General features: G+C 42.8%; 2 pseudogenes across 1 annotated transcript; one reads left to right on the top strand and one right to left on the bottom strand.

The window, feature by feature from the left end:
- The first annotated feature begins 1,148 nt into the window (after nucleotides 1-1,148).
- On the top strand, nucleotides 1,149-6,481 carry PGBP (pepsinogen B, pseudogene; annotated as a pseudogene). Its single transcript, NR_029429.1, has 5 exons — nucleotides 1,149-1,238; nucleotides 1,734-1,852; nucleotides 2,547-2,746; nucleotides 4,142-4,263; nucleotides 6,405-6,481. The product of NR_029429.1 is annotated as a pepsinogen B, pseudogene (transcript).
- A 3,749-nt stretch (nucleotides 6,482-10,230) lies between these two features.
- Nucleotides 10,231-10,812, bottom strand: HIGD1AP12 (HIG1 hypoxia inducible domain family member 1A pseudogene 12; annotated as a pseudogene).

The following is a 13,800-nucleotide window of genomic DNA, read 5'->3' as shown; positions in this document are numbered from 1 at the left end:
ACCATTCTTAGATACTCACTTATACTGCTCATTAGCTGTAATTTTTGACTAGTTACTAAACCAAAGTCTCACCCTTTCTATGGAAAGAATCAGAACAAGTTATGAGTTGGTACCATCTAAGAGTATAGTAATTCCTTTTCTTTCCTCCTTTCCTCTCGTTGCTGGCCCATCCTGCTAAAGCCTCATTTACATGATTAAGAGATTCATGGTGGGAATGTTCAAGTCAACTGAGAGATCCAAAGGAAGTCCTGGCAATGAGCTGCAGGGGAAAGAAGGAAAATACATGTGAGGATGTCAGGCAAAAGCTCCAGTGGCTCAGATACTGCATCTCTCCCTCTTTGGAAAGATGCAAAGTCCCCGGAGCAAATGTCTGAATATTCTCAAGCCCACCAAGTCTCATCAGGGCATCTTGACATTCTGCTGTCCTGTGGACTGTCCTTAGTGAGATGTTATGTTGCATGTCTGAGCTGGAAGCCACGTTAGGGATCTTCTATTTCAACACCCACATTTTATAGGTGAAGAAACTAGAGGTAGGTAAGTGACATGACTGGCCCATGTTAACTTAGAGCTTAAACTACCTTCCAGTGAAGAGCTCTTCTTTCTCTCCATGCTGTCTCTTTTCCAGCTGCCTAGCACCCTCTGCTAGTGTGTGACCAGAAGGGAGGAAAATGGTGGTAGAAGTATCTAACATTGAAAGAGAAGGGGAGAAGAGTGTGATGGTGGTGGTGGTGGTGGTGGTGTGTGTGTGTGTGTGTGTGTGTGTGTGTGTCTGGACACCAGGAAAAAAGAAAAAGTGATTGTTTCCCCAATTCTGGGTACTCCAGTATAGCATGATAAATCTGTGAAGATATCAGCTTATTGTAAAAGTAGAAAACACTTTGGAAGAGGATATTGTCTTGCCATACTAAGTCTTAGCTGGCCAAAGGCTTGCAATTAGGGACAAAAAGTAGAATCTTGAAAGGAACTAACTCCAGATGGGAAGGAAAACTTGTGGGATAAGCCTCTCATTCCCCCAAGAAAATGATTTGGGCAGAGGGTGGCTTCCTGTGGGTTAACTGCTTGTCCGTTCTTAAGACAAGGCTTGGTTACTTAATGAAGGTGATAAACCTTTCTTTTGCAGTCTTTCTACTTTGGGGAGATCAGCACTGGGACACCACCCCAAAATTTCCTAGTCCTCTTTGATACGGGTTCCTCCAATCTGTAGCTGCCCTCCATCTACTGCCAGAGCCAAGTCTGCTGTGAGTATGTCACTACCACCCTCCACACCATGAGGGGAGCAGATAGAGGAGTGGAGCTGGGATTTGAGTGCAGGTGAATCATTCTAAGTCCAGAGTTCTTTGTCCATCACGTATCCTCCTTCTGTTTGGAACATTGAGAAATTGCTCTCAGTCTGTCACTTCAGCACCACTTTTCAGAAGTGCTGACTTTTTTGGAGACAGACAGCAGAAACAGACTAAGGCTTCCTTTCCTTCCCCTGAGCGCCCTTCTGTGGCCCAGTGTTTCTGGTAAGTCTGAGGCAATCTTTCTCTCAGGGAATGGTCAGCTGGAAGGAATTTGGGCAAAGTGTGTCATAGACTTTTCTAGGACTAGCACAGTTTGTCTACAAGAAAAGATCTAGGGTGATGCCCTATCCCAGCCTTGGTCTGATGAGCCCAATCCATCAAGGATAAGTAGCCTTCACGTGTTTTGGAAAACTGCAAATGAAATGAATATTCCATTCTGTCTTTCTATAGCCAATCACAACAGGTTCAATCCCAGCCTGTCCTCCACCTTCAGAAACGATGGACAAACCTATGGACTATCCTATGGGAGTGGCAGCCTGAGTGTGTTCCTGGGCTATGACACTGTGACTGTAAGTAATGTTTTCATAGCCTCTGAGGGTCTGTGGTTTGGCTCCCATTTTCTAGAGTCTTACACTATTAGAGAAACCCATGCTTACTAATTAGGTCCAAGCTTCCCAGAAGCTGAGTGTTGGAAGGAACACAAAGACTAATTCAGCCTTCATCCCAGGACGTAAATCGCTTCCACAGCAGTCCTGACTGCAGGAAGCCTTTATGTTGTGCTAAAGTTGTTGTGTCTTCTTGCAGCTTTGCTGTGTGGTCCTAACTCTGCCCTCTGGAAACACACAGATAAGTCTATTGCCTCTTCCACCCAGTTGCACTTCGCATATTTGAAGACAAGCCTTTTTACTATTTTCTTATTTCTTTAGTTCAAACACCTACAATTCCTCTAATCATTCTTGCACATAGATTGTTCAGTATGAAACCATTCAATTCTTTCACTGTCCATGGAAGTGGAAACTATAACTCCAGAAAAAAACTTCTTCCACTTCTCCAACATCCACACTCTTTTTTCCGAGACACACCTGATGAGAAAGGTTGCTCTTTCACCCTCCACTCCCACCCTTGTGGTTGGGTTCTGCATGAAAGAAGCTGATGTTCTCTCCCCAGGAGGGTTTCTGGATTCCATACCCTGTGCACATTAGTCTGGGAAGCCATGCAATTTGTGCACCTGAATTGTCAAGCCATACTGTCTGCTTGCCATAGGTTCATAACATCGTTGTCAATAACCAGGAGTTTGGCCTGAGTGAGAATGAGCCCAGCGACCCCTTTTACTATTCAGACTTTGACGGGATCCTGGGAATGGCCTACCCAAACATGGCAGAGGGGAATTCCCCTACAGTAATGCAGGGGATGCTGCAGCAGAGCCAGCTTACTCAGCCCGTCTTCAGCTTCTACTTCACCTGGTGAGAACCTTCGTCCTGTGAAGGGCTCAGAAAATGAGGGTCCCTGGGGATTCTAGGCAACCCAAGATCAGATGGGGTCCAGGTTATAAGGTGTTCTGACACAATGAGTATAACTTGCTATACAAAATTCATGTATTTCAGAAAATTTGGGAAAAATCTTATTTTAAATACACTTTAACAATTTTAAATTAGGCCAGGCGTGGTGGCTCACACCTGTAATCCCAGCACTTTGGGAGGCCGAGGCAGGCGGATCACGAAGTCAGGAGATTGAGACCACCCTGGCTAACATGGTGAAACCCCATCTCTACTAAAAATACAAAAAAATTAGCCGGTCTTGGTAGTGGGCACCTGTAGTCCCTGATACTCGGGAGGGTGAGGCAGGAGAATGGCGTGAACCTGGGAGGCGGAGCTTGCAGTGAGCCGAGATCACGCCACTGCACTCCAGGCTGGGCGACAGAGTGAGACTCCATCTCAAAAAAAAAAAAAAAAAGAATTTTAAATTATATTAGCTGTAAGCCACAAGATGACCTTTCATAAAATTGAGTAACAGTCCCTCAGTGTTTATTTAGGAAATCTGGAGACTGCTGTATTAGCACTAAAGAACAAGCCACATGAGCATTACTAGTAAAGAGAACTATAATGGAGGAATAATCATAATACTATGTCTGGCTTTATAAAGTGTTCTCCTAGCAATTACTTCAAATGACATCTCAAAAATCCTCATATTAGCCCCATCTTGCCAGGGAGCAAATGGAGGCTCAAACAGCTTGTCAGAATTGATCAAGGTCACTCACAGTAAGTGTGAAGCCAAGACTCAAACTCAAATATCTTGATCACAAATCCAGTACTTTTCTTGCTCCACTTGGCACTGTACTTTTGTGCCAAACTTTATCCCTTGTTCCTTCTTTCCCAAACACATGATCCTCAAAGTACCTAAAGTTCACATGTCTTTCTTCTACGACTGGCCAGCATAAGAAGCACAAAAGGCCAAAGTCCTTCCAGTATTGTCTAGTTAATGACCTGACCATGATGGGAGCATGCCTCTCAGAGCGCCTCGCGGGCTCTCTCAGGCCCCGTTCTAGTTGTCCCTAAAACGGTTTCCTATTGTTCTCACTTCCTCCCAGGGAGGGTTTCTCTGGGATGCTTTTCTAGTTTGTTTTTGGGTGCCTGGTTTCCACTTCCGTCTTCTTTATGGGCATCGTGTCTAGTAGTTTGGTGTTACTCTGAGAAGTCTCCTCCTGTGCCTCAGCAGGCTGAGTCTGAGAGCAACTCAGAGGACAGCGTCCCCTCGTCTGCAGCACCCCTGTGTCTGAGGGAGTGCAGGAAGGAGAGAGGAGAGAGAACTGCCTCACCGACTGTGTGTGGGCACTCACGTTCTTGTACATCTCTTCCTAGCCAGCCAACCCGCCAGTATTGTGGAGAGCTCATCCTTGGAGGTGTGGACCCCAACTTTATTCTGGTCAGATCATCTGGACCCCTGTCAGCCCGTAACTGTACTGGCAGATTGCCATCGAGGAGTAAGTAGAGAGGGCAATTCCTGTGGATTGTGGACACTCGCAGGGTGTTCCTCCAGCTTAACAACATTTCCTGTTCCTCCACATCACACAGGTTTCTTAAATAGAATCACCAGCCTCCAGGCTGAGGTGGTCCTGGAGCTCAGTAGACTCTGGTGTCTAGCTCTGGTCTGAACTTTTTGAACTGGGTACTGAGTCTCAGCATGCTGGCAGGTTGGCCATTCCTAGGCACTGTGAATCTGTTCCTATTCTTGGAAGCTTGATGATTTCCATCAGCATAATCTTTACTACTTCTATCATTAGTGAAAGTAATAGCTGTCATTGATGTTTGATATGTGCCAGGTGCTATGCTAAGTATTTGATTTATTTATTTATTTGAGACAGGGTCTCACTCTGTTGCCCAGGCTGGAGTGCAGTAATGTGATTTCGGCTCATTGCAACCTCTGCCTCCAGGGTTCAAACGATTCCCCTTCCTCAGCCTCCCGAGTAGCTGGGATTACAGGCGCCCACCCCTACACCCAGCTAATTTTTTGTACTTTTAGTAGAGACAGGCTTTCACCATGTTGGCCAGGCTGGTCTCAAACTCCTGACCTCAAATGATCCACCCACCCTGGCCTCCCAAAGTACTGGGATTACAGGTGTGAGCCACCGTGCCCGGCCTAAGTACTTTAAATATATTATTGCATATAATTTCCACAAGAGCACTATAAGGAGGTCAGCAATACGTTTCATTCTATCGATAAAGAAGTCAAGGCTCAGAGGGCTAAGTAACTTGTCCAAAGTCACATTTTATAAAGCCAAAATTTGAGCACAAGCTTATTTGATCCGCGTTGGGATCAGTTAAGCTTGTGCTCAAATCAGTTATTTTTACACCTGAGAATTCTCTATCACATGCCAGTTAAAGACAAAACTCCTTTGATCTGTATTTAAGACCATACAGAATCTCGGCTCCACCTATCAATATAGCTTCTCAGTGCTTCCAGATATTAAGCACAGACTTCAACAAGTCCTTGCACCTGGCCATGATTTTCTTGCTTTTGTTCTTTTAATCATGCCACCTGGAGTGCTTACTTGACTTGTAGGCATTCCTCAAAGCCCAGATTAATTAGTATCTTCTCCTAAAAATCCTCCCAGGGGCCCAGAGCACAGTGATTTCTTTCTCTTTTGATCCTATAATGCTTACCTGTGCTGCTGTCACAATTAACATGTCCTAGTCACTGGGTAAGGCACTGGAGAAACAGCCCAACCTACAAGAGCAGAAAGAGGTAAGAGCTTGGCAGATTATTTGTGCATGGAATGGAGGTGGCTTTTCATATAGCCCAATTCTACTCATCCTTTATCACTTCCTCAGAAAAATCCTTGTTCTGGCTTCCCAAGAAAGATCAAGTCCCCTTTTCTCTGGCACATTGTAATGTGCACCTATCAGGGCTGCAATGAGACATCATTTGTGTGTTTTTGTTAAATGTCTGGGCTCTCCACTAGACTGTGGTGTATGTCTTGTTTACCATTGTATCTCCGAGTGCCTTGCATGATACCTGGCTCATAGACAGATCTCAACACATCTATATGGGATGAAGAGGAAGGGTAGAGCAGTAGAAAAAAGCAAGACAAGGAATCAGAGACTGCATCATGTAAGAGTCTATGTACCACATTACGGGGTTTATCAGCTACTGCCTTACAGTGTTAGTCATGGCTTGATTAATTGTGTTGTTCCATCTCTATTAGAATAAGCTCCTTAAAGCAGTAAGCACTAATTACCCACTCCTTGTATCACCATAAATCCTGAAAGAGTGTCTTCCACATAGTAGGTGCTCAAAATGCAGCTATTTACTGATTACAAGCCCTGACTGTGTTTGGCACTATGTGCTGGACCCCATATAGGTAGATGAAAGAAGATAAGACACAGGCTCTGTCTTCCTAGAGCTTTCAGTCAGAGCTGGAGTGAGCACCAAATCAAGACTGAGGATACGACTCCAATAATGACAAATGGACAGAAGCATTTCATGGGCAGATGTGTAATAGGAGTGGCTTGGCTGCCTGGAAGAAGAAGAACATCAGAGCTGCTGGGTTGGAGGACAAGGGATGACATGGCTCATGTTTTCAGTAGAGGCACTTGATTCCCTTTGTCCTGGTGTCCCCCTCAGATTTGCCATCGGTAACCAGGCCACTGGCTTGTGCTCTGAGGGTTGCCAGGCCATTGTGGATACCGAGACCTTCCTGCTGGCAGTTCCTCAGCAGTACATGCCTCCTTCCTGCAGGCAACAGGACCCCAGCAGGCTCAGAATGGTGACGTGAGTACCAGAAGCCAAGAGGTTTTCTGCACACCCAGGCAGACTCACCACAGGTGCCTGAGTGCAAGGAGTTCACAACAGAGAGGAGGAAGGGTTGGATGGGACCTGAGGCTTTGGCCGGAAAGATGGGTGGGGACACAGCATGGCATTTCTGTCATGAACCTTCAATGCAAGGAAGGGGAAGGGGAGGGAGTAACACCATCTCTACTCAGACTGGTTGAGTATGGGGTGAATGGTTGTCAGGAGGTGCTGTGAATCCACAGTATGTCCTAGGGGCAAATTTCAGCTTTCTGGCCACTATCACTTGACTGCTCTGAAATATTAGAGTCAACACATTTTTCCATTCCTTTTGGTTTCTTTCTCCCATAGGAATACATCTTTGGATTTCACTCTGAGTAGCCTCCTCTCCCCACACCTGCCCGCTTTGTACTCATATCTGTTGTTTGCTTCTCCTTGCATGCAAGAATCTATTCCCAGACTAAATCTTGATTTCTCAGGTTGTGTGTGTGTGTGCACATCTGTACACGTGCATGCATACATGCGTGCACATGCTATGGTGAGTACATGGACGTGTGCACACAAATGTGGATATGAGTGTGTGGGAGAGTATGCTTCCACAAGTGTGTGCCCCATGTCTTTTCTCTGTAATTTTCACTTTCCAAGGCTAGAGACTCTGTTCTAGAATAAGCCTCCTTCTTTATGACCATATCAATACAACCAAAATCCAAAAGCTGAGATGTATTTAAGGAGAGGACTCAAGAAAGCAAGAGGGCCTGGTCAGAGTTATTCCTGGGAAGGCCAGGCCTTCCATGCTCTGAAACAGCCTTTACTGGAAGGTGGAGGGGAAAGTCTTACAGGGAACTCACGGGAACAAAGTGGGCCTTGGGCCTTTTACCTGGGCTTCTAGTCCCCTGGAGTGCCTCAGCTTTGCCTCTTCCCCCTCTCAGTTTGTGGTCAACTGCAGCTACATACAGAGCATGCCCACCATCACCTTCATCATCGGCGGGGCCCAGTTTCCTCTGCCTCCCTCTGAATATGTCTTCAATGTACATATTCACTCCTGGCTTCCAGGGTACTGGGATTTGGTGGGCCCAAACAGGTGTTCCGTGTCCCAGCTCACATCTGGGCACCTATGATGTGAGCGGGGCACCAGGGACCAGGCTGAGACTGAACAAGAATTCGGGGCCCCCTACAGGTGTCACGTAATATAAGGTGGGGAGTCCCTGTGGGGAAAGGTCTCTACAGTACAGCTAGTTATGTCTTCATGTCCTTTGTCTCTTCAGAACAATGGCTACTGCAGGCTTGGAACTGAGGCCACCTGCCTGCCCTCCCGCAGTGGGCAGCCCCTCTGGATTCTGGGGGATGTCTTCCTCAAGGAATATTGCTCTGTCTATGACATGGCCAACAACAGGGTGGGCTTTGCCTTCTCTGCCTAGACTAGCCAGCGACTGCTGTCTCTACCCCTCTCTGCAGGACTCTGGGATTGTTCTGATGTTTCTGTGGGTCCATGGCAGCATTTTTAATGATCCTGACTCCCTCTGCTCACTAGAGTCTTACTTTCTGCAACTAATAAATTGGAAAACTCCAAACACCTTTAATGTTCATTCCCAGATGTCTTTTTTGGTGTGTTCTGCTTTTTGTGGCTTATTCTAAGTTGAAACTTAGCAACAGTTACTACAGGGGATCAGTTAGTTAATCGATGGGAGAGAAAAATAAGGAGGTAATCTCTGCCTGAGTATGGAACTCCAGCATAGGCATTAAGGACACAGTGATATCTCCTTGGGAAGCTCTGGTTGGAGGTTATCACCCACCTACCTCTCTCTCCCCCAATATTGTTTTTGACTATCCTTAGAAAGAACGTGTACCAGAGCAATGGCTGACTCAAGAACAATATAAGGGATGAGGGAAGCAACAACCTTAGAGAGCATTTCAAACAGGTGTTTTGCAGGCCAAATATAATCAGAGAACATTTTTTTTTGAGGGCAGCAGCACAATTTTAATGAATTTGCAGATTAATGGTCATTATCATAGTCCTCATTACTCCCTACTGGTACTCGGGCTACCTCACATGTTCACTTTGCCTGCCTGAATCTGAAAGCATTTGAGTTTAAAATCCCCAGTTTTATTTTACATTGGAAGGAGCCTGAGGCATGGAGAGGTGATCATACAGTTGGTGTTCAAGTCAGATTCAGATTCAATGTAATAATTTTTTAAAGTTATATTTCTATGTAATAAAGTCCACTATGCCATGGGGACATGGAAAATATAAATGAGGCATGGTTTTGATCCTTAGGAATTTTTAATCTGGAATACCTTACTTTTGAGCATTTCCCTGTTTGAAGTGAGCTCAGTGGTTAAATTTGCATTACACAGTCAGTAACCAAAAATCATTTGAAGTGAGGTCGTCTAATTTAGAAGGTTGCCTCAGGGAATTAAAAACTGTCATTGCCTTGGGATCTCAAAAAGGTTTCAATAGTGGAGATATCACATTAATTCCAGTATAATTAGAAAAATGTATCTGGATAAAAACATGCAAAACATTCTCAACTCACCCATGTATGGGGTAGGGGGCAACAGTGTTGAATGTCAGTGTCCATTTTCTTACATAGTTTTATTGGTCCTCTCTACTGACATGTAATAGAGCTGGTCTTATTGAACTAAGTAATGTCTGCATTGGGTCATTTCTTTTTTCTTCAGTGTTGTGTTTATCTTATGGAAGAAATAGATTCTTTTCATCAAAGGGAAGGGCGATGCAGGTCAGCCCCAATGCACCTCCATCCTCCTCCCCCGCCCTGTCAGTCACTGTTCTTGCCTCAGCATCACCTCTGTTTATGCTCTGACTTTTGACCTCAAGCATTGAGAGCAAAGATCTTGAGTTAGAGATATAATTTCTTTTTTTTTTTTTTTTGACATGGGTCACTTACTTTAATAACAATACATATACCATGTTATCACCATGGAATGTAAATTCAGATTAGACAAGAGAAGTTCACAAGTGTAATAGCTTTCTGTATATTATATAAAAGTTTGGGTATACTGTCTGCCAAACCAGCTTGCTCATAAGTCTTTTATCAAATCCGTTATAGGTAATTTGTTCAGTTCAATGTTTACAATTCTTATTGAAAAAATAAGCAACACACACATTTAAAAAGTGTTCATTTACCTTTGCATGAGTGCTTAAAATACATATTTCTGTTTCAAGATGACATTTAAAAATTATTCTAATATATCAGCAGCAAAAATATAATTTGCAATTACAAAAAACTAAACTAGAATCCTTTATTCTCATGTTTACAGTTGTGATTTTTTAATAAATACTACTATTATGCAGCTCTATTGTTTAAGCTTTCTGGATTTGGCTTAAACACATGCACATATATTGTCAATTGTGGGAAGCTTTACAAGTTATATTCCATGCACTTTTTGGACAGAGTTCTAACAGAGCCAGCCAGTCCACAGAACAGGCAGACAAAAGTTGAATTAACTGGGGCAAATAGGACTCTTATACAACATCCAAAATATGTGAGATTCTGCAGCAAACTGGGAGTACCTTCAGGATTGGTCTGTTATCTTCTTTAGAACTAAGTTCATCTTAAAAATTTAAGAAGGTGGACATTTCAACACCATCAAGTGCATTTAGGTGACATGTTTAAGTTAACTTGACTTCCTTGAATGACCTAGTTAGTAAACTAGTCACTAGTAATTCGGTCACCAGGCAAATCAAGCCTGCAAGAAAGGAAGCCAATATTCAAAATGCCATGTTACCATCTAAACCCATACAAATTAGTTTATTTCCAGCAATAATAGGTAACTTCAATAATGAGACGTCTAACTAAAGCAAGCTCCTCCAACAAGACTAAGACAGCATCTCTTCTTCTAAGGCTTAGGTTTTGCCTAGAATTCCCGATACATGAAGTAGCCCATACCAACAGTCATTGCTCCTACAACAAAGCCTTGGGTTGCCATATGCATGTGGATCAGATGAATGGACATTTTAGTATTTCCCTTGCTCTTCAGTTTGTATAATCCATATGCAACAATTGCTGCAAAACCTGCTGCTCCAACAGGTACGAATGGTGCCTCTTTAGTTTTTCGAGTAAGTTTGGATCCCTGATCTTCCTCATGTGAAGGAAGGGAAACACCTGTGTCTGTTGACATAGTGATTGCTTGAAGAATCTCCCTAGAGCGAGAAAACCTTTCACCCACCAACCGGCTTCTGATCCCTGCACGCGCACCCAGTCCTCCCGGCTTCTCCCCACCCCTAGAGATATAATTTCCAGAAAGTTCTCAACACAGTTACTGAGAGATAATCAAATTCAAGTTACTACAAGTCATCTGAGGTTTTTCAGCAGGTACCAGTCTGCTAGAACAATTACAGTATTTGCAAAGCCAGAGTTAGAAAATTCTATCTGCTCCCGTTTTCTAGAAAATAACAACCAACGGCCAGGCGCGGTGTCTCACGCCTGTAATCCCAGCACTCTGGGAGGCCGAGGCGGGTGGATCACAAGGTCAGGAGATCGAGACCATCCTGGCTAACACAGTGAAACCCTGTCTCTACTAAAACTACAAAAAATTAGCCAGGCGTGGTGGCGGGCGCCTGTAGTCCCAGCTACTCGGGAGGCTGAGGCAGGAGAATGGCGTGAACCCGGGAGGTGGAGGTTGTAGTGAGCCGAGATCGTGCCACTGCACTCCAGCCACAACAGAGCAAGACTCCGTCAAAAAAAAAGAAAAAAAAGAAAAAGAAAAAAAGAAAGAGAATAACAACCAACAAAAGCTCCCCCATAGCTTAAGGTCTGTTCCACTTTGCTTATCGTTTGTGGGGTGGGGACAAGACTTATTAATATGTGAGTGTTCCCCACTTTCCTTTAACACCCTTCTGTCTTCATTGTACTAAATAAAGACCTTGGCTGTCCAATTCCTATATTTTTGTGAAAGAGAATTGGGGGACTGCCAAAAACCAACAGATATTGGTGAGAATATGGAGAAAAGGGAACACTTATACACTGTTGGTGGGAAAGTAAATTAGTACAACCACTATAGAAAACAATAGGAGATTTCTGAAATAACTGAAAATAGAACTACCCTTTGATCCAGTAATCCCACTCCCAGGTACCTACCCAGAGGAAAAGAAATCATTATATCAAAAGGACACCTGCATTCACATGTTTATTGCAGTACAATTCACAACAGCAAAGTCATGGAATCAACCTGAGTGTTCATCAACAGATGATTGGATTAAAAAATGTGGTATACACATTTCATGTAACACCACACAGCCAAAAAAAGAATGAAATGTTTTTTGCAGCAACATGGATGGAATCAATGGGAGAGAAAAATAAGGAGGCAGTCTCTGCCTGAGTATGGAATTGCAGCATAGACATTAAGGACACTGTAGTCCTTATCAGAGGCTATTATCACAAGTGAAATGACTCAGAAACAGAAAGTCAAACACCAAATGTTCTCCCTTGTAAAAAGGAGCTAAACATATGGAGTGGAATTGTAGACAATGGAGACTACAAAAGGTGGGAGGGTGGAAGAGGGATGATGGATGAAATACTGCCTATTGGGTGCAATATGCACTATTCAGGCGATGGGTACACTAAAAGCCCATACTTCACCATTACACGGAGGTAACACACCTCCATCTGTATCCCTAAATCTATAAAAATAAAAACAATAAAAATAAAAAACAAAAAGAGAAAGAAAACACATGGATAGCTAATGACAGTTTCAGTTTCCAACACAAAAAAGACAACTTTAAAAACATGAAAAAAATTTGTGGACTGGGTTGAGAGAGAGGGGAAGGTCTGCAGAAGTAGAAGGAAAGATGAGAGAATTAGACAGAAAGAGCTGGAAAATAACAGGGACGTGAAAAGGCATAGAAACTATGAAGGGTGGATGTGAAGACAGGGATTTGGGCTTTATTGGGGGAAATGTCCCAGCCCAACATCTCTGGAGGAGAATGTAGAATGGCAATTTTGAAAAATGTTGCCAATGCTTACATAGTAGACCCCTTTAAATATTCTTTAAGAGATGTAAATAAGCATTGGAATTCCTATTTAATTGCTATTTGTGCAGGTGTAATGTGCTTGTTAAAATATTTTAATTTTTAATTTTTGTGGGTATATAGTAGGTGTATATATTTATGGGCTACATGAGATATTTTGATACAGGCATGCTATGCATAAAAATCACATCAGGGTAAATCAGGTATCCATCACCTCATGAATTTATCCTTTGTGTTTCAAACAATCCAATTATACTCTTTTAGTTATTTTAAAATGAGCAACTGAATTTTTAAAAATATAGTCACCCTGTTGTGCTAGCAAATATTAGATCTTATTTATTCTTTCTACCTATTTTTTTTTTTAACTCATTAATAATCCTTCTTTTCCCTCCCTCCTGACTACCCTTCCCAGCCTCTGGTAACCATCCTTCTATTACTCTATCTCCATGAGTCCAGTTGTTTTAATCTTTAGCTCCCACAAATAAGTGAGAACATGCAATGTTTGTCTTTCTGTGCCTGGATTATTTCACTTAACATAATGACTGCCAGTTTCCTTCATTTTGTTGCAAATGATGGGATCTCATTGATTTTTTATGGATGAATAGTAGTCCATTGTGTATATGCACCACGTTTTCTTTATCCATTTGTCTGTGAATGGACACTTAAGTTGCTTCCACATCTTGGCTATTGTGAATAGTGCTGCAATAAACATGAGAGTGCAGATATGCTTTTGATATGCTGATTTCCTTTCTTTTAGGTATATACCTAGAAGTGGGATTCCTGGATCATATGGTAGCTCTATTTTTAGTTTTTTGAGGAACCTCCAAACTGTTCTCCATAGTGATTGTACTAATTTACATCCCCGCCAATAGTGTATAAGGGTTCTCTTTTCTCCACATCCTTGCTGGCATTTGTTATTGCCTATTTTTTTAAATAAAAGCCATTTTTTAATTAGGGTGAGATGATATCTCATTGTAGTTTTAATTTACATTTCTCTGATGATTAATGATGTGAACACCTTTCCATACCTATTTGCTAGTTGTGTGTCTTCTTTTGAGAGATGTCTGTTCAGATCTTTTGCCCATTTTTAATCAGATTATTAGGTTTTTCCTATAGAATTGTTTGACCTCCTTATATATTCTGGTTATTAATTCCTTGTCAGATGGGTGGTTTGCAAATATTTCTCCCATTTTGTGGGTAGTGTCTTCACTTTGTTGTTTCCTTTGCTGTGCAGAAGCTTTT

The sequence above is a fragment of the Homo sapiens genome, chromosome 1 (assembly GCF_000001405.40).
Source record: "Homo sapiens chromosome 1, GRCh38.p14 Primary Assembly".
Taxonomy (NCBI): domain Eukaryota; kingdom Metazoa; phylum Chordata; class Mammalia; order Primates; family Hominidae; genus Homo; species Homo sapiens.
Note: the sequence above shows the minus strand (reverse complement) of the source record. Positions and strands in the feature narration are given on the sequence as shown.